General features: G+C 39.3%; 1 protein-coding gene across 3 annotated transcripts; it reads right to left on the reverse strand.

The window, feature by feature from the left end:
• Positions 1–816: 816 nt before the first annotated feature.
• On the reverse strand, positions 817–23005 carry ZNF479 (zinc finger protein 479). 3 transcript variants are annotated; one of them, NM_033273.3, is made up of 5 exons: positions 22749–23005; positions 15427–15479; positions 9733–9859; positions 9159–9254; positions 817–4293 (listed from the first exon to the last, which is right to left on the reverse strand). In NM_033273.3, exons 2-5 carry the CDS (start codon positions 15463–15465, stop codon positions 2981–2983), a joined length of 1575 nt encoding a protein of 524 aa, NP_150376.1. In that variant the 5' UTR covers positions 15466–15479; positions 22749–23005; the 3' UTR covers positions 817–2980. The 3 variants fall into 3 exon arrangements, with proteins under 3 accessions (NP_150376.1, NP_001357058.1, XP_011513906.2); XM_011515604.4 differs by lacking the exon at positions 817–4293 and adding an exon at positions 21944–22095 and having other exon boundaries at positions 9151–9254; NM_001370129.2 differs by lacking the exon at positions 22749–23005 and having other exon boundaries at positions 15427–15577.
• Positions 23006–23686: the final 681 nt, after the last annotated feature.

A 23686-nucleotide genomic window follows, 5' to 3' on the forward strand; every position in this document is an offset into this window, starting at 1 on the left:
TTTTATGACCATAAAATGACCCTATGGTTAGTAATAATTCAATTGTACATATTAAAATAAAACTGTATAATGAGCTTGTAATACAAAGGATAAATACGTGCTCGAGTTGAGGAATACCTCATATACGCTGCTGTGATAATTAACTAATGTATGCCTGTGTTAAAATATCTCATATATGCCATAAGTGTGTATGCACACTATCCACCCACAAAATTTTTTTAGAAATCTAAATAGGGTAAAAAAGAATACAAATTTGATCTATGAGAAAAAAATTATTCTACTTATTTGCAGTTTAAACCACTGGCAGGACAGGCATGGTGACCCACGCTTGTAACCCCACCAATTTGGGGCACTGAGGCGGGTGGATCACCTGAGATCAGGAGTTAAAGACCAGCCTGGCCAACATGGTGAAACCTCATCTCTACTAAAAATACAAAAATTAGCCAGGCGTGGTGGAATGTGCATGTAGTCCCTGCTACTTGGCAGACTGAAGGCAGGAGAATCGCTTGGACCCAGGAGGTAAAGTTTGCAGTGAGCCGACATCATGCCACTGCACTCCAGCCTAAGCAACAGAGCAAGACTCCATTTCAAAACAAACAACCAACCAACCAACCAACACTGGCAAAAAAGAGATTACTAGAGATGTCATTCCCCTACATTAACAAATAGTACATTGTTACCATCTTTTACTTAGAACCTTAAGTAAAATGGGACCCATTAAATCTGATGACAAATTAATACTTCATTCAAAGCACAATAGTTTTAACACATTAAAAACAACTTTGTTTAATGAAAAAATTAAGTTGACACATAATCTTTAAAAAATTTTTAAATTTATTGCATTTTATTACATAAACGTACAATTGATAAAAAACAATCTCTCCTATCTCTGATGAAACAACTGATCAAATACTTTCACAAACAATGGGAAGAGTCAACATGACGGAATCTGAGACTTGAGTTACATTATTATTTGCTGTTCAGAAACTATTTTTTTATAGAAGAAAGAAGCATACCTCGAAGGTAATTATGAATCTCGAAAAAAACTACTTCTTTAACATGTATATGGTGTTAGCTTTGGATCTCTTTTACACTCAACCCTCTGATTTAGTGTAATGTATGAAGTTTCAGTGCCTTCATTCTTTCTACTGTGACCCCTCAGATGCTTATATAGACTTAATTTTTGATTTAATATGTTTTCCCCATTTACTGGTTCTGCAAAAATATTTAGTACAAACTGGTGTTTTCTAAGCTGGAGGTTTTGAAAAAATGTTTTTCACATTCATTACATGTTTAGACTTTCTCTCCAATATAAATTCTCTAATGTTCAACAAAGTTTGAGCATCTTCTCAGATCTTCAAATTTTTCCTTTAATATAAAATGTGTACAATAAAATCTGTAATGGAAGTAAAGGTACAGCAATCCTCTTTAAGTTTGTATGTTTGTCTTCAGAATAACTGGTCTTTACTTTAAAGGCCTATATTTTCCAAAAGGTCTTTTTACAGTAATCACATTTATAATTTTTTTTTTGAGACAGAGTCTTGCTCTGTCACCCAGGCTGTAGTGTAGTGGCTCTATCTCAGCTCACTGCAACCTCTGCCTCCCCGGTTCAAGCAATTCTCCTACCTCTGCCTGCCAAGTAGCTGGGATTACAAGTGCACGCCACCACACCCAGCTAGTTTTTCTATTTTTAGTAGAGATGGAGTTTCACCATGTTGGCCAGGCTGGTCTTGAACTCCTGACCTCATGATCCACCGACCTTGGTCTCCCAAAGTGCTGGAATTATAGGCATGAGCCAACACACCTGACCTATAATCCCTTTATTAAGTATAAACTTTCTGATATTGAGTAAGATGTGACCTGATATTAATGGTTTTTCACATTCTTTGTACAATTTTTCTCTAGTATAAATGCTTTCCTGTACCATAAGGTGTGAGAATTTGTTAAAAGTTTTGCCACATTCTTCATATTTGTAGGAGTCTTCTTCAGTATAAACTATCTTACCTACCATAACGTGTGACTACCATTTAAAGTCCTTGCCACATTTAACACATTTCTAGAGTTTCTCACCAGTATGATTTCTCTTTTTTAGAAAAGTTTGAGGTGTGCTTAAATGCTCTGTCACATTTTTATGTAAGCAGAGTTTCTCTCCAGTATAAAATTTTTTAGTGAGTAAGCATGGAGAACCAGTTAAAGGGTTTGCCACATTTTTTTCTGCAATTGCAGGGTTTCTCTCCAATATCAATTATCTTACATTTATTCAGGTTTGAGGACTTTTTAAAGACATTACCATATTCCTTATTGTAGGGTTTCTCTTCAGTATTAATTCTCTTATGTATAATAAGGGTTCAAGACTAGTTAACAGCTTTACCACATTCTTTGCTTTTGTAGAGTTTCTCTCTAGAATGAATGATCAGATAATATGTAAGGCCTGAGATGTGCTTAAAGGTTTTGTCACTTTTTTTATGTTTCTAGGGTCTCTGTAATATAAGTTCTCTTAGGCTTTGGGAGGCTGACAAAGGTGGATCACCTGAGGTCAGGAGTTCAAGACCATCCTGGCCAACATGGTGAAACTCTATCTCTACTAAAAATACACAAATCAGCCAGTGTGGTGGCACACGCCTGTAATCCCAGCTACTCAGGAGGCTGAGGCAGGAGAATCGCTTGAACCCGGAAGGCAGAGGTTACAGTGAGCTGAGATCATGACACTGCACTCCAGCCTGGGTGACACAGGGAGACTCCAACTCAAAAAAATTTTTTTAAAATAAATTCTCTTAGGTTTATTAAGGTTTGAGGGTTGGTTAAAGGCTTTGTTACATTTTTTTACATTTATAAAATTTCTGTCCAATATGAATTCTCTTACATTCAATTAAGGTTTGGAACTGGTTAAAGGCTTGGCCACATTCTCTACATTTGTAGTGTTTTTTTCCAGTGTAAATTATTTTATGTATTATAAGGCCTGAGGGTGGACTTTGCCATATTATTCACATTTGTAGGGTTTCTCTCCAGTGTGAATTATCTTATGTTTAGCAAGACTTGAATGCCACTTAAAAGCTTGCTCACATTCTTCACATTTGTAGGGTTTCTCTCCAGTATGAATTCTCTTATGTTGCATAAGGGTTGAGGAGCAATTAAAGGCTTTGCCACATTCTTCACATGTGTAGGGTCTCTCTCCAGTATGAATTCTCTTGTGGTCAGTGAGGGTTGAGGATAAGCTAAAGGCTTTGCCACATTCTTCACATTTGTAGGGTCTCTCTCCAGTATGAATTCTCTTGTGGTCAGTGAGGGTTGAGGATAAGCTAAAGACTTTGCCACACTCTTCACATTTGTAGGGTCTCTCTCCAGTATGAATTCTCTTGTGGATAGTAAGTGCTGAGGAGCGCCTAAAGTCTTGGCCACATTCTTCACATGTGTAGGGTTTCTCTCCAGTATGAATTCTCCTATGTCTCATAAGGTTCGAGGATAAGCTAAAGGCTTGGCCACATTCTTCACAGGCATAGGGTTTCTCTCTAGTATGAATTCTCTTATGTCTAGTAAGGTTTGAGGACCAGCTAAAGGCTTTGCCACATTCCTCACACCTGCAGGGTTTCTCTCCAGTATGAATTCTCTTGTGGTCAGTGAGGGTTGAGGATACGCTAAAGGCTTTGCCACATTCTTCACATTTGTAGGGTCTCTCTCCAGTATGAATTCTCTTGTGGTTAGTAAGTGCTGAGGAGCGCCTAAAGGCTTGGCCACATTCTTCACACGTGTAGGGTTTCTCTCCAGTATGAGTTCTCTTATGTCTAGTAAGGTTTGCAGACCAGCTAAAGGCTTTGCCACATTCCTCACATCTATATGGTTTCTCTCCAGTATGAATTATTTTATGTGTAGTATGGTTTGAGGAGCAGTTAAAGGATTTGCCACATTCTTTGCATTTGTAGGACTTCTCCCTAGTATGAATTACCTGATGTTGATTTAGGTGTGAAAGCATGCAAAATGATTTGCCATATTTGTTACATTTGAAATGTTTATTTCCAGTATATCTTGTTTTATCTCTATTGGAATTTGAAAATTTACCAAAGACTTTGACATATTTATGAGTCTGAAATATTTTGTTTTGGGTAGTTGACAAACATTGGTTAACTTCACTATAACCTCCCTTGTGCACCTCATATTCACCCACACTTTTACAGCATTTTTTAAATTGTAATTTCTCATGTCCACATTTTCCATATGTTCTTGGTATTACTTTTTGGAGTGAATCTTTGATGCCCTGCTCTGGCTGAAGGTCTTGGGTGAAATGGGAACGCGTAACTGAAAGACACAAAAAGCACAAGTTACTCCACTTTCTGGACTCATATAAATATATTCTACACATGAAATATATAAAATTACACAAGGTACATTAGCAAAATGCCATATCAAAATACCACAGGCCATAATTCCTTCATAGATGTATAAATGTAACAAAATCATAGTGATCAAAATACCTTTGTTGGAAATTTATAAATAAAGTAAGTGTGTGCACCATGTGAGCATGATGTCCAGAGCCATATAGAGAGAAAAGAAAAGTCTGCTACATTTACCCAACACAGCCCTTCCTCATGCCCAGTAGAAGAACATAGTGCCTTTAATAACAGCTTTAAGTCTTCTGAGCTCAAAAGTGAATGTTACAACTGCAGAAAGACTGCAGTATGATGGGCAGAAGATAGGTGTAGAACGTAGTTACTGACCACTAAGAAGAAATATGAAGAAGTCTTTTAATTGAAAAATAAATACAAATTGCAGACAAAACACATCCTGAGAACATGTTTGTGAGAATCCCAGAATCTCTACCAAAGACAATTGGTGTCATGCTATGACAGGAAGGAGCTGCATTATAAAGATCATGAAAGGTAGTTTTATGTTAGTGTCTAAATCTCAAACAAAGATTACAATGTATATAAAACATGAGGATAACATGGTCCAATCAAAAAAATCAAAAATTTTGAAAAAGCAACTATAAAAACAAAGATGTAGATCTTGATTTTTAAAATTTAAGATAATCCATATTATGCTCAATGAGAAAAATGGAAAACCAGACACCCAAATAAAATAAGAAAAATAAGAATACCAACAAAACTTGCAATAATAAAAATAAACAAGGTGGAGGTAAAAAAGAATAACTGAAAAAATTTTAAAGTAAGAAAAAAGTATGTAAAAAATGAAGAAGCTAAACAAACAAACTAGGATATACACAAAAAGATCCGCAACACAAATTTAAGCAAAGTTTCAAAAGTCACAAACCAGAAGATAATCTTGGGAGCTGCAAGATAAAAGTGAGGTATTATTTATAAGCATAGTCCTCTGAGACAGCCAGTGAATTTGTAAACAGAAACCTTGCAGGTCAGAAAAGAACTGTGTAAAATGGTCAAAGGCTGAAAAAAATTTTCATGGTGAGAATAATAAAACCAGAAAAATGTACTACAACATAAAGAAAAATAAAACTCTTCCAGAATGAATAAATGCTGGCACATAATCATTGTATGTGCCCTAAATAAAATGCTGAAAAGAGGTCTTTCCACTTAAAATAACATGATGAAAAATATATGTAATCATATGAAAATACATAACTTTCTGAAAAACATATGCATATACAAAAAGTAAAATTCTGTGGCATTATTGTGATGGTGCAGAAAATACTTTTAGTTATTCTTTAAAATTTGAAAAATATAAGCATAAAAATCATAAAACATAAAAAGATATAATTAGCAACATCAATAAGAAGTATGGGGTAGATATAATGAGGACAAATTTTTCTATGCAACTGAAGTCATTTTTTTACCAGTTTAAAATATACTGTTGTAACATTTAAGATGTTTTACAGAATCTCCAATGTAGCACAAAGAAAAAGTCTTTATAGACACATGAAAGCAAATGAGTCGATTACTAGAATGAGACAAAGATTGATATTATATAATGGTAAAATGAGTCCATTTACTAGGAATCTATAATTATTATGTCTATCTATATGTATATGCATATATAACATCAGGGCTTCAAAACATATAAAGCAAATATTGACAGAAATGAAGCAAGAAATAAAATAGCAACACAAAATTATAAACATTAAGACCTCCTTTTCAATAATAAAAAATTTAAATAAAAAATCAATTAAAAAAACTGAAAACCTGAAGAATATTATATTGTGTATGAATTTATTTTGCATTGCCATAGAAAATAACCTCAGACTGGGTAATTCATAAAGAAAAAGATTTTTTTGATTCACAGTTCAGTAGACTGTACAAGAAGTATATGCCAGCATCTGCTTCTGGTGAGGATATGAAGAAGCTTACAATTATAGTGGAAGGCAAAGAAGAACCAAACATGTCACATGGTGAAAGACGACGTGAGTGTGAGGTGGAGGAGCCAGGTTCCTTTAAGCAACCAGCTCTCATGTGAATTAGTAGAGTGAGAACTCTATGATTGTGCCAAGTCATTCATGAGGGGATTTGTCTCCATGATGCAAACAGCTCTCATTAGGCCCCAATCCAACAGTGGAGATTACATTTCAACATGCGATTTGGAGGGCATCTACACCATATCACAAACCAAATAGGCTAAACAGACATGTACAGAACTCTCCAGTCAAAAGCAAGTGGATACACAATATTCTTATTTGCACCTGGTGCGTTCTGTTAGAACACATAAGTCTTGGTAAATTTCAAAAGATCAGCCAGGTGCAGTGGCTCACAGGTGTAATCCCAGCAGTTTGGGAGGCCAAGGTGGAAGAATCACTTGGGGCAAGAAGTTTGATACTAGCCTTGGGAACACAGTGAGACCCTGTCTCTACAAATAATTCAAAATTAGCTGAGCATTGTGGGGTATGCCTCTAGTGCCAGCCGCTCAGTAGGCCAAGGTGAAAGGATTACTTGAGTCCAAGAGGTTGAGGCTGCAGTGAGCCAAGATTGTGCTACTGCACTACAGTCTGGGAAACAGAGTGAGAAAATCTGAGTCAAAAAAAAAATAAGAAGAGCAAAATCATACAGTATATGTTTTCTAACCCAAACTGAATAAAACTAAAAAGAAAAAAAGTAATACTGGCAAATCAAAAATACATGGAAATAAACACACTCTTCACTGTATTCTTGCACAGGGTCAAATAATTTAAATTAATTTAATATTTTTTCTCAAGGGCCAACATATTTAAGTGATGACTTAATTTGTTAAGATGTCAGTATAACCCACAGTGGTGAACAAATTTAATATAATCTGTATCAAAATTCCAAAAGTATATTTATTCCTGAAATATTGTTTAAAATTTTTAAATTTTATTATGAACCAAATCTAGAGAAACACACATGAAAAACACAGAGGCACTATACTTCATAATTTCAAAACATAATAAAAAGCTGCAATAACAATAACTATGTGGTACTCACAAAAAGACAGATAAAGACATGATAGAACAAAATAGAAAGCCCAGCAATGAACTCTTCTGTGTATGACCAAATAATCTGCCTCAAGTTTGCCATGAGCAGACAATGGAGAAAATATAATCCCTTCAACAGCTAATGTTGAAAACTGGACATCTACATTGAAAAAATGAAGTTGAATGGTTTAATTGCATCACATACAAAAAATATTTTAAACAAAGTACTTAGACTAAGAAAAACCTAATGAAACTCTTAGAAAAAAAGTATAGTGCAAAGACATGACATTGGTCTTGGCACATTTTCTTAGATATGCCATCAAATGCATGTGCAACAAAGAGGAGAACAGAAAAATTTAATTGGGCTAAACTTCAAAATTTCTGCAATCAAATAAAACATTTAATACAGTGACAGTGTCTCCCAAGAAATCGGTGACAATATTTGAAAATCACATGTGATAAGACTTAATATTGAGAATACACAAACTACTCCTAGAACTAGACAACGATAATTGAATTACTTGATTTAGAAATGGACAAATGAGCCAGGTGCGGTGGCTCACACGTGTGATCCCAGAACTTTGGGAGGCTGAGGTGGGCAGATCACCTGAGGTCAGGAATTCAAGACCAGCCTGACCAACATGGTGAAACCCACCACTACTATAAATACAAAATTAGCTGGGTGTGGTGGCACATCCCTGATCCCAGCTACTCAGGAGGCTGAGGCAGGAGAATCATTTGAATCCAGGAGGCAGAGGTTGCTGTGAGCTGAAATCGCACCATTGCCCTTGTTGCCTGGGAAACAAGAGTGAAACTCCGTCTCAAAAAAAAAGAAATGGAAAAATGATTAAACTAAATTTTAATAAAAAAGATATACAAATGGGAAGAAGCATTTGAAAGGTTGCACAAAATTAATAATTTATAGAAAAATGCAAAACATAATCACAATACAAAACAAAATCACCTTACATCAATTAGGATGGCCACTATAAATTTTTTTAAAACACCAACTGTTGATGATGTAAAGAAATTGAAACCTATGTAAGTTGTTTTTTATGAGAAAAAAGATACAGCCATCATAAAAACATCATAAGCGTTCTTTAAATAATCTAAAATGAAATTATTATATAATACAGCAATACCATTTATGAGTCTATATCTAAAATATGCAACACAGTAAAATGAAGACATAAAAGGTACCCTGCTTGCATATCCCCCCACAGCAAGTGGGGGGATAACCAAGCCTCTAAATAAATAAATATATATAAAAAATTAAAAAATTTGTAAAAAATTTGTAAAAACTTTAAAATATATTTCAAGGCTATAGTAATAAAAACAGAATGGCATGTGCAGAAAAATGGATGACCACCAATGAAAGAGAAACTACTATTCTCACACATTTTAGACATGATGCAAAAAAAAATTTTAATGGTTTAGAGTTTTTCAAAAATATGCAGATATTAGTGTGTCCCCAAAAGCAATGGCAAAGCAGTCAGTTTGCGCAGTCCCTGATAACCTTTAAAGAAAACTTTGGCTCACACTGTGAACTTGAAGAAAGATTATTGAAGCAGAAGTGGAATCCTTAGAGACTTTAACAGCATGAGGCAGGAGGTGTCCCTATGTGAGAGCAAAAGAAAAAAATGACTTGAGCTTCTCAGAAACTCTTTTCATCAAAGCACAGCTCCCCAGACCACATTTTAAGGACTGGCTGCCTCCTTGATTTGTGTACCTCTCATCTGTCTCATCTGCTTCATTCGCTCTCACCTACCTGGGTGTTTGGCTACCATCTCATTTCTCTTTATATTCTGGGACTCTTTATTTTGCTCCAGACAGGTGATCAAGTCTGGCTTAGAGACAGCAATACCTGTTTTATTAAGAAAAAAAAGTAACATAGATCATGCTGAATTCTTTAATTACCAAATTAGTATTATGCTTAGAGGATATAATAGAAAATTCTAGAAGATTAATATTGATTCATAATAGAACTTTCTAAATATTCAGAAAATATTTTAAATTTGTAGGTCCTTAATTTCACTACTCAGTACTACTGAATCAAAAATTGGTGGCAGCAACTGAATTCTAATGTGTGGGCAACGATCTTTTATGCCATGGCATTTTTGGAATTCCCACTAACCTAGAGCAAAAGATACATAAGCTCAGGAAAGGCAAAAGTTCTGGTCAAGATAAAACATCTTGAAGAATTTGTTCTACAGCAATGAATCCCCAAGATTTTCTTAAAATTGGAGATCTAAAATTCATTCATGCAAAGCAGAAATTACCAAAAACATCTTAGAAAAGAGAAAAGCAATATATTAGGAATTATGTACTGAAGTTATCCTCACCCAGGGAGACCAGGTTTCTGTAGTTCTCTAACATCACATCTCTATATAAATTCCGCTGAGCACAATCCAGGCATTGCCATTCCTCCAGAGAGAATTCTATAGCTATGTCTCTGAATGTCAACAGTCCCTGGAAAACAAACAAACAAAACCACTCATGAACACACAAGCACTTACCACACGGCCATAGGCAGAGATTTTTATTTGACTCAAGTTAAAAAAGAGAGTAAAAAGAAGTGGTTCTCACTTACAAGAGTGACTAAAATTATTCAATAAGATAATTTTTAACACTGAAGTATTCTCTAACTCTGAGAAAAGAGGATAGCATAAGATCCACAATACTGCTGTAGATTTGATACTTTTCTGGATGATACATTATAAAATTAAGGGCATCAACATGGACATGTCTTTTTCTTTTCTGTTTTTCTTTTTTTTTTCTTTTTTTTTTTTTTGAGACCGAGTCTCACTCTGTTGCCCAGGCTGGAGTGCAGTGGTATGATCTTGGCTCAGTGCAACCTCCACCTCCAGGGTTCAATCGATTCTCCTGCCTCAGCCTCCTGGGTAGCTGGGACTACAGGCATGAGCCACCATGACTGGCTAATTTTTGTATTTTTAGTAGAGATGGGGTTTCTCCATGTGGACCTGGCAGGTCTTGCACTCCTCACCTCAGGTGATCCACCCACCTCAGCCTCCCAAAGTGCTGGGATGGCAGGCATGAGCCACTGCGCCTGGCCGGACATGTCTATTTTTGAGTGCTATATTTACATCATATAGAATAAGTTGTGTATATTTCTCAGATAGAACAGTCATGATGAGTTGGAAGATACCTCTCAAGTCTTAGTATGTGCAATAAACTAAAGATCTTGTGAGATTTTGTTTCAGGAGATTTCCGAGGAAGTCTGAATTTCTGAATTTTTAGCAAGCTCACCAATGTTTCTAGCCTAGTAAGAATATTTTGTCAAATATCCAGTAAATGGCAGAGTCTGGGTTTTTCCCAGTTTCTCTCACCTGTAAATAAAGATAAGAGCCTTCATTTTTAAAAGACAAATATAAGCAAAAGTCATCTAAAAGGAAAGGACAGCTTCCAGATTAAATGTGATGGTTTATGCACTTCAGCTAGTAAATCTCCTAAGTGTCCTTAACAATTAAGAGAATAAGAATTAACTCTAGAGTGGAAAAAAATGTCATAGAGATCTTGAACCAAGTGAATAAAATTGTTATCAACTTTATTAGGACACATTTTTATTATGTGCTGATGCACACACAACACAACATCACTGCTGTGGCATTTCTCTCCTCTCAGAAAAGTAAATTATAATCTACATTTAATTTTATTATATATATATATATTTTTTTTTTTTTTTTGAGACAGAGTCTCGCTGTGTCACCCAGGCTGGAGTGCAGTGGTACCATCTAATCTCACTGCAACCTCAACTTCCTGAGTTCAAGCAATTCTCCTGCCTCAACCTCCCAAGTAGCTGGGATTACAGGTGCATGCACCATGCCTGGCTAATTTTTGTATTTTTTTTTAGTAGAGATGTTGTTCCACCATGTTGGTCAGGCTGGCCTTGAACTCCTGACCTCACGTGATCCACCTGCCTCGGCCTCCCAATGTGCTGGGATTACAAGCCAAAGCCATTGTGTCTGGCCTAAATTTAATCAAAAAGAAACATCAGTTTTATGCAAAGTTGAAGGTGCAGATAACTTCCCTGTTCTGTAATTTTTATCAGTAATTTTAAGTAGTCTTTCCTTAGCACCCTGGAAAGCAAGTATCTCCTAACAGTTTTTTCAGAACTTTCTGTGTAATAAATGCCACCCTGTTTAAATGAGCATTTTCTAAACACTGTCCTGCATGGAACTAATAGAGCACACAGATGAAACCTCAATAGAACATGTTTCACTTTTCACTAATCTCCAAAGACAACGGTATTTCCCCAATAGAAATCTTGAGTATCCACACCTTCTAATGTTCAACAGCTACAATGGGAACATTTTAAATATCGTAGGTCATAAATTTGTTCTAAGAATTCTGCATGATATACAAGAATCCAAGATGAAGAGAAATGTATAGAATGCTATGGCATATAGAAAACAAATATTTTTTTCAGAACCCCTTGACTATCATAAAAATCACAAAAAATAGTTGAAACAAACTCATTAGGGATCAACAGCACAAGTAGAGAAGTAAAAATTTGCAAGATCTGAACACAAGGCATTCCAAAAGGCAGCAGTGGACACTGCGCTTGATCTGAGACATGCTCACCTGAGAAAAAGTGATTTGTTTCTTTTCCTCCTCTTTCTCTGAAATGTATTTTCAGATGAGATGCTCTGGACATATCAAACCTGCATCTTGAGAATATGCCTTTAAAGCACAACCTATTCACCTGCTACCACCACACACACCCACGGCAGAAAGACCGAGACTTGCAGAAAACATTCACCCATTTTTGTTGTTTATAACTGAAAAGATTTAAGAGCAATGAGAGAACAACAAGCTTCTCCATAACTATTAAAATATAAGTTTCTTTGTCCCTGCCCTCCCCTATCAGAAACCAACAATTTTCTTTACAGTAATGGGAGCATGAACCGCACTGACCTCTTCCTACCAAACTGAAACAGGGCAGGCAGTGCAGCCTTCCTATGATGCAAAGGTTGAACTAAACTCTCCTGAAAGTATCTTGAACCCCTCAAGTTTATAAATCACTTGGTAATCTTGGCCCCGCTCTATGCAACGTGATTCTGCAGGATCCAAAAGGGTCCAGGAATGGGCTTTTACAAGTCCCCTGTAAATGCTGATTGTGCTTTCGCAGACACATTATTAGCATTAGCAAGAGAAAGCAGGCACAGCAGAGTCCCTTACACACACCACATTTGTCACAATACTAATACTACTGCTACAAATAAAAACAACCAATTTCCACCCTGAAATGCTATATTTTTGTTGGCTTTTTTAAGTTTACAGGGACAACAGAAGACAGTAATGTCTGAGTGAATCTGCACCTGGGAAACCTGTACACATGTACTAATAAAATGTTTATTAAGCAGGTATTGTGTGCTCAGGAGCATGTCACAGAACACTGCGCTGGGAATAACACATTTTGTGATTTAATTTTCATAGCACCCTGGGAGTTGGTACTAAGTGCTGAATAATTTTTAGCATTTGGATTAAGAGCACAGCATTTTTATTTCTTCTTATCTTTCTCATTAATTTTAAAAAGAAAATGTATAGAATAATTCAATACAAAAAAACATGTGAAAGGATGCAATTACATAAAAATGGAATAATCAGCTTCCAAATGGCTATTTTGGAAATAATGAAATTAAGGCAGAAATAAAATTTTTGAAACTAATTACAACCGAAATACAACATACCAGAATCTCAGGGTTAGAGCTAAGGCAGTGTTAAGGACAAAATGTATATCACTAAACATCCACATCAAAAAGTTAGAAAGATCTCAATTTAAAAATCTAATGTTACAATTAAAAGAATTTCAAAAGTAAGAGCAAACCAACTTCAGAGCTCACAAAAGTCAAGAAATAACCAAAATCAGAGCTGAAATGAAGAAGTTTGAGACATAAATAACTATAAAAAGTTCAATGGGCCACGCATGTGCTGTGGCTTGCTCCTGTAATCCCAGCACTTTGGGAGGCCAGGGCGGGAAGATCACGAGTTCAGGGGTTTGAGACCAGCCTAGCCAACATAGTGAAAGCCAATCTCTACTAAAAACACAAAAATTAGCTGGCTGTGGTGGCACATGCCTGTAATCCCAGCTACTCCAAAGGCTGAGGCAGGAGAATTGCTTGAAACTGGAAGGCAGAGGTTGCAGTGAGCTGAGACCGCACCACTGCACTCCAGCCTGGGTGTAAGAGTGAAACTCTGTCTTAAAAAAAAAAAAATTCAAAGGAACCAGAAGTTAATTCTATGTAAACATAATAAGATAGATAAAACACTAGACTAATGGGAAAAAAAGAAATAATTCAAATAAAAACAATTAGAATAAAAAGTAAAAACAAAAACAAAAACAGATGCTTGTGAGGTTGTGGAGAAATTGAATGCTTATATGCTGCTGGTGAGAGTATAAATTTATTTAACCATTGAGAAAAGCAGTTTGGCATTTTGACAAAAACCTGAAAACAGAATTACCATTCCCAATCCCGCAATTGGGAATATACCCAGTGAATGTAAGTTTTTCTACCATGAAGACACATGCACGCATATGTTTATTACAGCACGATTCACAATAGCAAAAACAAGAAATAATCCTGTATGTCTTCAATGGTAGACTGGATAAAGAAAACGTCGTATGTAAACACCACGAAATATGATGCACTATAAGAAAGAACAACATCATGTCCTTTGCAGCAATGTCGATTGAACTGGAGATCATTATTTTTAGAAAACTAGTGCTGGAACAGAAAATAAAAAACTGTATGTTGTCACTTATAAGTGGGAGCAAAATAATGAGAACACGTGGACACAAATAAGAGAACAACAGACACTGAGGGTAGAGGTCTGTTCAGGGTAGAGGATCAGAGGATGAAGAAAATCAGAAAACAAATCTGTTGGGTACTATACTTAGTACTTGAGTGATAACATAATCTGTACACAAAAACTTCATGATATGATTTTACCTATACAACAAACCTGCACATGTACCCCTGAACCTAAAATAAAAGGTAAAAAAAAAAATCAGCTGGGTGCGGTGGCTCACACCTGTAACCCCAGCCCATTGGGAGGCTGAGGCAGGCAGATCACCTGAGGCCAAAAGTTGGAGACCTACCTGGCCAACATGGTGAAATCCTGTCTCTACTAAAAATACAAAAATTAGTTGGGCCTGGTGGCACACACCTGTAATTCCAGCCACTCGGGAGGCTAAGGCAGGACAATTACTTGAACCTGGGAGGCAGAGGTTGTAATGAGGTGAGATCGCACCACTGCACTCCAGCCTGGAGGACAGAGCGAGACTCCCTCTCAAAAATAAAAAACAAACAAACAAACAAAAAAAAAACATTTCTTGTAAATTACTATCTTGAAGAAAATATTTGGCCTAGGCAACCACAGACTGCCAATTAATCTCTGATGACATAACCAAGAAATTTTCACCTGGATCTCACAAATAAGGAAACTACATAACTGTACCAAACCAATTATTGAATCTGGTTTGCTTCATCATGCAACTTATAACAGACTTTTCTTCAAGTCTCTCCCATGGATCACAACCCACAAACCATAGCTGGGTGCTCTATGATTCTTGAATCACACTTTGATCAGATTCTCATTTTTACAGTGACTCCCATACATCTCTAAAAGGAAAAATGAGGAACTAAGGACCCCAGGACCACAGCTCTTTCCACTCATGAATCTTGCACCCTGAGTCAGGATTCTCCCCTGATGACTTTCCTATCCCTGTACAATCTGGGTGAGATGAGGCGCTGGGAGTGCAGAGCAAACCAGAGAGGCCTCCAGTCCAGGGTAAAGCCACTGCAGAGGAAAAAGACAAAAACCCCAGGGTGCCAGGTGCTGGCCCAGGCACCATCTTGCGGCTGGAGGGGACGAGAGCCGAGCTGGGCCAAAGAGGATTTGGGTCGGCAGGCCCTGGAACTGACTGCAAGAAAGTCTGGGACCTGCTACAGCCACTTTCTGCCGGTTCCAATCAGCCCCCACCCCTCTCTCACGATGACAGACCCAGCACTCACCATTTCTCGGCTTCCAGGGGGTCCTGGTCTTTTAGCCATAAATCTGCAGATACCTGCAGGACACAAGGACACATAGGCTTGGCCTCTAGGAGCAGAGGACACAGAGCAGTGAAGAGGAGAACTGCAGCTCTGGACGCAGAGAAACACAAAGGACCCGCAAAATTACGGAAGTAGCCTGTTCTTTCCAGCTGCAAGCCTGATTGGACAGTTTCTAGTCCACGGCTCCTGATTGGATAAGGTTTCAGGCCCCACCCTTCATGCCCTGAGTGAGGGAATATTTGATCAGACACTGGGCTGAGTGAAGCAAAAATAACAGCCTAGGCTGCAGCCTTCACAGGCAGGGCTTCTTCCTCGATCGGAGCCAGGCCAACTTCAGAGGATATTTGCATTTAACCTTGTGTATAATGTCATATGCATTTATAAATGATATATAATATTTATTCATAAATTGAAATAATGACAATTATTTTAAAATGTAGGATTTTATGACCTTCCTTGCTGCGGATCCTTTGCAGTGACATGGTGTGTCTTTCTGGCTCCACCCAAATCTAATCTCAAATTGTAATTCTCGTCCGTGTGCAGTGGCTCACACCTATAATCCCAGCACTTTGGGAGGCCGAGGCCGGCAGGTCACTAGTTCAGGAGTTCGAGACAGGCCTGGCAAATATCGTGAAACCCCGTCTCTACTAAAAATACAAAAATTAGCCTGGCGTGGCAGTGTGCCTGTAGTCCCGGCTACTCGGGAGACTGAGGCAGGAGAATTGCTTGAACCCAGGGGGTGGAGGTTGCAGTGAGCCGAGATGGCGCCATTGCACTCCAGCCTGGGTGACACAGAGAGACTTCCTCTGAAAGAAAAAAAAATTGTAATTCCCGTTTGTCAGGGCAGGGACCGGGCAGGAGGTGATTGGATCATTGGTGTGGATTATCCTCATGCTGTTCTGGTGGTAGTAAGGGAGCTCTCAAGACACCTGACAGTTTAAAAATGTGGCACGTCCTCCCCGGTTCTTTCTCTTTTTCCACCATGTAAGATGTGCCTTGCTTTCCCTTCACCTTCTGTCATGGTCATGAATTTAAGTTTCCCAAGGATTCTGCAGCCATGTAGGACTATGATTCAATTTACTTAAAAAAAAAAATGACTCAGTCTGAGCTATTTGTTTGTAGCAGTGTGAAAATGGACTAATACATGCGGGCAGCCTGAGATTTCAAAAGGGAGGAAATCCTCTGCAGTAAAATATAAGCCACATGTAAATTTTGAATTTTCTAGTAGCCAAATGTTAAAAAGTAAAAAGAAAAAGGTGGAGCTGGGCGCAGTGGCTCACGCCTGTAATCCCAGCACTTTGAGAGGCCGAGGTGGTGAACCATCTGAAGTCAGGAGTTCGAGACCAGCCTGGCTTACATGATGAAACCCCTGCTCTACCAAAAGTAGAAAAATTAGCTGGGCGTGGTGACAGGCATCTGCAATCTCAGCTACTAGGGAGGCTGAGACAGGAGAATTGCTTGAACCCAAGAGGCAGAGGTTGCAGTGACCCGAGATCACACCACAGCACCCCAGCCTGGCAACAGAGGGACTCTGTCTCAAAATAAAAAAGAAAGAAACAGGTGGAATAACAGGTGGAATTGATTGCAACAACTTAATCAGCCCAATATATCCAAATTATTATTATTTTAATATGTGATTAGCATGTAATGGTTAATAAAGCATATACATTTTTGAAGCTAAATCTTTGAATGTAATCTTGTATTTTACCTTTCTAGCACATTGCAGTTCACACTAGCCACATTCCAGCACCCTGTAGCTATGTCAGAGGCATCTGAAGCAGAGAAACTGCATCTGGAATAGGTGCTGGGTAAAATGGGGCTGAAACCTACAGGACTGCATTTCCATGAGGCCTGGCTTTCTAAGTCACAGGATAAATAGAAGATTGGCACGAGATCCATTTTACAAAGACCTTGCTGATAAAACAGTTTGCAGTAAAGAAGCGACAAAAATCCACCAAAACCAAGGTGGGAATGAAAGGGACCTCTGATTGTCCTCAGGAATCATTACACGCTAATTATAATGCATTAGCACGTGAAAGACATTCCCACCAGCGCCATGACAGTTAACGAATGCCATGGCAACATCAGAGAGTTACCTTACATGGTCTAAAAAGAAGAGAAACACCCAGTTCTGGAAATTGCCCATGCCTTTCTTGTAAAACTCATGAATAATCCACCCCTTGCTTAGCATATAATCAAGAAATAACTGTTAAATATCCTTAGTTGAGTGGCCCACATTGCTGCTCTGCCTAGAGAGTAGCTATTCTTTTATTCCTCTACTTTCCTAATAAATTTGCTTTTGCTTTGCACTGCAGACTCACCCAAAATTCTTTCTTCTATCTTTTTTTTTTTTTTTTTTTTTGTCTTTGAGACAGCATCCTGCTCTGTCACCCAGGCTGGAGTGCAGTGGCGCCATCTCGGCTCACTACAACATCTGCCTCCTGAGTTCAAGAGATTCTCCTGCCTCAGCCTCTGGAGTAGCTGGGATTACAGGCATGCGCCACCATGCCCGGCTAATTTTTTTATTTTTAGTAGAGATGGGGTTTCACCATGTTGGCCAGGCTGATCTCGAACTCCTGACCTCAAGTGATCCTCCCGCCTCTGCCTCCCAAATTGCCGGGGTTACAGGCATAAGCCAGGGTTATAGGCATAAGGCTCTAAATTATTTCTTGTACGAGATCCAAGAACCCAATCTTCGTTTCTGAATTGGGGCCATTTCTGGAAGCTTCTTTTCAGTGAATTACAAAAGGATGATACCAAGGAAACCCACAACTCAAAGGAAATAGACTGAATTACCAATTGGCTAACTTTTTGTAAGTGGTGGCATACCTGGGTAAAGAATGGGATCGGGTTAGTAGCCCAATTTAGTGGCGTTAGAGTGTCTCCTAAGACAGATAAGATAAAAGGTCTCTTTTAATAAAAGGCAAGAACACTTGAAAAACTTGTGTTTGAGGTGCAACTTAGAAAAGTTAGAGTCTTTCCTAAAATTTAGGGGGTTAGAGGCCCCTCTCAGTAAAGTCCCTCTCGGCTAAAATTAGATTGGGCATTATGGAATGTTAACCATTGCTGTCTTTGTGTTTGTTTGTTTGTTTTTTTGTTTGTTTTGAGATAGAGTCTCACTCTTGTCGCTCAGGCTGGAGTGCAGCAGTGAGATCTTGGCTCACTGCAACCTCCACCTCCCAGGTTCAACCGATTCTCCTTCCTCAGCTTCCCAAGTAGCTGGGATTACAGGCGCCCACCACCACACCTGGCTAATTTTTGTATTTTTAGTAGAGATGGGGTTTCACCATGTTGGCCAGGCTGGTCTTGAACTCCTGACCTCAGCTGATCCACCTGCCTCAGCCTCCCAAAGTGCTGGGATTACAGGCATGAGCCACTGAACCAGGACTTGTCTTTGTATTAATTTGCCTTGCACTTTTTGCTAGTGGCTGTGACTGACAGAATTAGGTGAGTACAGAATCATGGAACATGTGGAGATTTTTCCTCCCTAAAGTGGGAAACTTGAGAGCAGATGGGACTGCAAAAAAGATTCTTTCACAACCAACAAGCAGCCACCTAAACTTTTGATTCAGTGCAATGCTTGGGTCTTTCTCTGGCTTTCCTGAGCTCCTCACCTTTCCTGCCCTGCCATAGGCAATCTCTCTCTCAATCTCTCTCTCTCTCTCTCTCTCTCTCTCTCTCTCTCTCTCTTTCCTTTCCTATCTTTTCTGTTACTCTGGGCCACCATCTTGCGCAGAGATCACATGTTGAAACTTCCAGTCAGAAGTCCCTGAAACAGGCCAGGCATGGTGACTCACGCCTGTAATCTCAGCATTTTGGGAGGCCGAGGTGGGCGGATCACCTGAGGTCAGGAGTTGAAGACCAGCCCGGCCAACATGGCGAAACCTCATCTCTACAAAAAATACAAAAATTAGCCAGGGTGGTGGCAGACACTTGCAGTTTCAGCTACTCAGGAGGCTGAGGCAGGGAGAATTGCTTGAACCTGGGAGGCAGAGGTTGCAGTGAGCTGAGTTCACGCTACTGCACTCCAGCCTGGGAGACAGAGCAAGACTCCATCTCAAAAAAAAAATACCCCCAAAGAAACAAAAAAGAAGTCCCTGAAACAAACAACAACAACAGCAAGAAAATAATGGATGAAATTTCCCTCTTGTTTTATGTTCTTGGGAGCTTGACCTTGTAGCCATGTGGCAGTATTTTCTCTTGGTTTCTACCATCTGGCATACATAAATTTTGAAATTTATGTTATACTTAACTCTAAAAATGATCTTGAGCAGTTAAAAACCTTTGCAAGCTCAAAATTGGCTGCTGGAGGCTTCTTCTGGGAGACTCCAATGGAGACTGCTCCATGCTGTAGCTCAGTAGCTGGGCTTTGCTGTCTCACAGTGGCAGCCCGGGTTCAGGGTTCAATTTCTGGCTTAGGAAATGAGTCCTTTCTGATTTGATATCTGTGTGAATATTTGTTGATTCTCTTCCCCTCCACCAACCATCTTGGATTTTCCTTTTTCTGAGCTACCTTTGAAGATTCCAGATTTGTAAAACTGCTTGCCACCTTTTTGAAAATACCTTGTACACTTGTCGTTACCTTCATAACCTTAATTAAAGCTTATTGGTTTCAGGAGATGGAGGTTGCAGTGAGCCGAGTTTGGCCGCTGCACTCCAGCCTGGGTGACAGAGGGAGACACTGTCTCAAAAAAAAGAAAGGCTCATTGGTTTCACTTGGGAGGTTATGGTAGTGAAGTTCAAAAGTCAGAAATATTGGCACTTTACATGACTAAAGTCAAGTAGTAAGAGAATTAAATAATTTTTTTTAAAAAGAGCATCATGGTTAAAAGTCAGCTTAATTGTATTATTTTTTGAGATGGAATGCAGCGGCACAATCTTTGCTCACTACAACTCTGCCTCGCAAGACCAAGAAATTCTCCTGCCACAGCCTTCCGAGTAGCTGGGATTACAGGCATCCACCACTACACCTGGCTGCTATTTGTATTTTTTGTATTTTTACTAAATACTAAAAAAGAAAAAAAAGAGTGGGGTTTCACTATGTTGGTCAGGTTGGTCTTGAACTCCTGACCTCAGGTGATCCACCCTCCTCGGACTCCCAAAGTGCTACGATTACAGGCGTGAGCCACCACACCTGGCCCTAAAGTTGGCTTAATTAATTGTGGATATTCAAGCTCTAACAGCCTGGAACTCCTTTGAAAAAACAGAGGAGGTGCCACAATAGGCATTTTCGGTGCAACTCAAAGGAAGTATTGACTCTGATCCTGAAGCTGGGGCATGTGAGAGACTGTAAATTTTATCTCTGAACCTTTTCACAGGTGTGATTGTGTCATATAGTTTCACTCAGTATCTGACTGATTTTTCTCTTTTGCCTGGGCCCGGCCTGCAGTTTAAATTGTGAAATATTCTTAGGTTGAGCACCTAGATAATGTGACTTTCCTGCTTGGGCTCTGCCCTCCCAGGGTATTGTGACATATCTCTGGGCCAATCACCTAGGTGATGTGACTCTCCCTTTCTGCCTGGGCCAGTCCGCAGGGGTTACTGCGAGATATCTTTAGGACCATCACCTATGTTATGTGACTCTTTTTTTGCCTTGAATCTGTTTGCAGGAGGAATGGTTACATATCACTAGGCCCATCACCTAGATGGTGTGACCGTCTTCTACCTGGAACGTGTTTACAGGGTGGATTGTGACATATTGCTTTTCCTAGCACCCAGGAGATGTGACTTTTATTGACAGGACCCTGCCCATAGTAAAAATATTGACATATTGCTGGCCCAGCACCTAGTTGATGTGATTCTCCCTCCTAGTCTCTGCCCACAGGTGGGATGGTCACACATTAGGCCCAGCTCACAGGTATAATGAAGACTCACATATGTGAACCCAGCCAGTAGAAGACATTTTAACTCTTCTAGCTAGGCTTAGAAAAACAGGCAATGATCTGGGTCTTCTACATGTAGAAAGATCACACAATATATCACACTCATGTATATTCTATAAAGTCTTTGAGTGATAAAAAGAGTGTTAAAACAGAGTCCAGCACCGAGGTAAAATTGTGAATCTTATAGGCACACTTAGTTGACAATTAAAATTGTCTTCCTCACACATTGACAAAACTTATTGGTGAAGTCTTGACTCTCATATGAGGACACGATACACAGTTAGAATATTGACCATCCAATGTGGATCTGTCCAAAGGTCAGATGGTGAGTCATAGCTGGACTCAGCCTACAGGCGCAGCGATGACTCTTATACCCGGACCCAGCCAGTAGGAGAGGTATTGACTTTCATAGCTGGGCTTAGGCCAAAAAATACAGTTCTGGGTTTTCTACTTTAAGAAAAATCACAGGTGATTACCACACACATGCATGTTGTGTAAAGCCCTCAGATGGTACAGAGAGTGTCATAATAAGACCCAGCACAACACTGAGGTTGTGACTATTGGATGCACACTCAGCTGACTGTTAAAATTGTCACCTTTATATAGGGAGAGAGCAAAATAGTTCCTGAATCTCACTGACAGATACAGTCCACAGTTGGATCATGTCGGTCACATGTGGATTGAGCCACAGGAGGGATGTTGACCAATTTCTGTAACCAGATCACAGGAACAAAAATGACTCTCCTACCTGGAACCAAAAATAGGAGAGATGTTGACTCTCATGCTTGGGCTTAGGGCAATGGGCATGATCCTACATTTGGGATTGTTAACAAATGCCTGGGCAAGCACAAATGTCTCAAAGCAGATTGTGAATCTCACATGTGCCATATAAAACCCTCAGGTGGTACAGACAGTGTCATAACAGGGAGCAGCAAACAGGTGAGATTGTGACTCTCATATGCACACCTGGCTAACAGTATGAATTGTCACCCTCCCACCTGAACACAGCCTCCTTACAACGTCCTCAATCTCACACTCAGAGGCAGTCAAAGTTGGAATTATGACTCTCATATGTGAACGCAGTCCACAGGTAGCATGGTGATTCCCACACCAAGATTCAGCAGCCCTGTGAGGCTGTGGCTCTGCTACTGGGACACTGTAAGTGGGGTTCAGGCTCTCATGCACACAGCCAGTCCACTGTTGAGGTTGTGAGTCAAATACTTAACCATATCTCGCAAGATATGTTGACTGTCATAAGTGAAGCCAGGACATTTGTGGGGTTTTAAATCTTATCTTTAAACCTTTCTGCAGGTGTAATTGTGACATATACATTTTCCCAGCCTCTGATTAATTTTACTCTGTTGCTTGGGCCCAGTGTACAGTTGAGATTGTCACATATACCTGGGCCATGCAGTATATTCAGTTCCTCTTCTGCATGAGAGCTGTCCTCAGGGGAAATTGTAATGTATCTCTGGACCAATCATCAAAGGAAGTGACTCTCCTTTTCTGCCTGGGTCCTGCCCTTAGTTGGGATTGTGACATATCACAAGACCTTTAACCCAAATGATATAACTCTTTTTTCTGGGTTCTAATTACAGAAGGCATTGTGAAATATCTCTAGGCCCATCACCTACGTGATGTGACTCTTCTTTCCTGCCTGAACCCTGCCCCCAAGAGACATTGTGACATATCACTGGGTCCAGCTTCCAGGTAATGTAACAGTCCTGCCTTGGCCCTGCCCACAAGGGGCATTGTGACATATTGCTGAGCCCAGTACCTAGGTGATATGACTCTCCTGAATTGCCCCTGCACTCAGGGGAGACTTTTGACCCTGCCCAAAGTGGCAATTGTGACATATCTTTGGCCAGCACCCAGGAGATCCAAACTTTGTTCCTGGTCTCTCTCCACAGTTGGAATTGGGAACTACACATGGGCACAGCTTACAGGTGGAATGATGACTCACACCTGAAGATATTTTGACCTTTGTAGTCTTAGGGCAAAAACTAAGGTCCTGTGTCTTCAACTTGTAGGATGGTCACGGAATATTACAACTTGCATGCACGTTGAATGAAGCCCTCAAATGCTACAAAGAGTGCCAAAATAGAGCCCAGCTAAAACTGTGGTAAAACTGTGGCTGTTGTATGCAAACTCAAATAAAAGTAAGGATTATCAGCCTTCCACATTAACAGAACCCACTGTTGAGGTTCTGAATCGCTCACCAAGAGGCAATCAAGTTGGAATTGTGACTCTCATGCATCAATCCAATCGACAGATGAGATGATAACACCAAGTCCAGGATTTAGAACACCTGGGGGCTGTGCTTCCCCTATCAAAACACA

Source organism: Homo sapiens, chromosome 7, assembly GCF_000001405.40.
Source record: "Homo sapiens chromosome 7, GRCh38.p14 Primary Assembly".
Lineage (NCBI taxonomy): Eukaryota > Metazoa > Chordata > Mammalia > Primates > Hominidae > Homo > Homo sapiens.

What these genes read in the sequence shown, in the direction of transcription:
- ZNF479 (NM_033273.3), bottom strand. Translation starts at nt 15,465, where the DNA reads ATGGCTAAAAGACCAGGACCCCCTGGAAGCCGAGAAATG. An exon ending in CCCCTGGAAGCCGAGAAATG is followed by an intron (nt 9,860 to 15,426) that starts GTGAGTGCTGGG and finishes TTTGTTTTCCAG; the next exon opens with GGACTGTTGACATTCAGAGA. An exon ending in GATGGTAGCCAAACACCCAG is followed by an intron (nt 4,294 to 9,158) that starts GTAGGTGAGAGC and finishes TGTGTCTTTCAG; the next exon opens with TTACGCGTTCCCATTTCACC.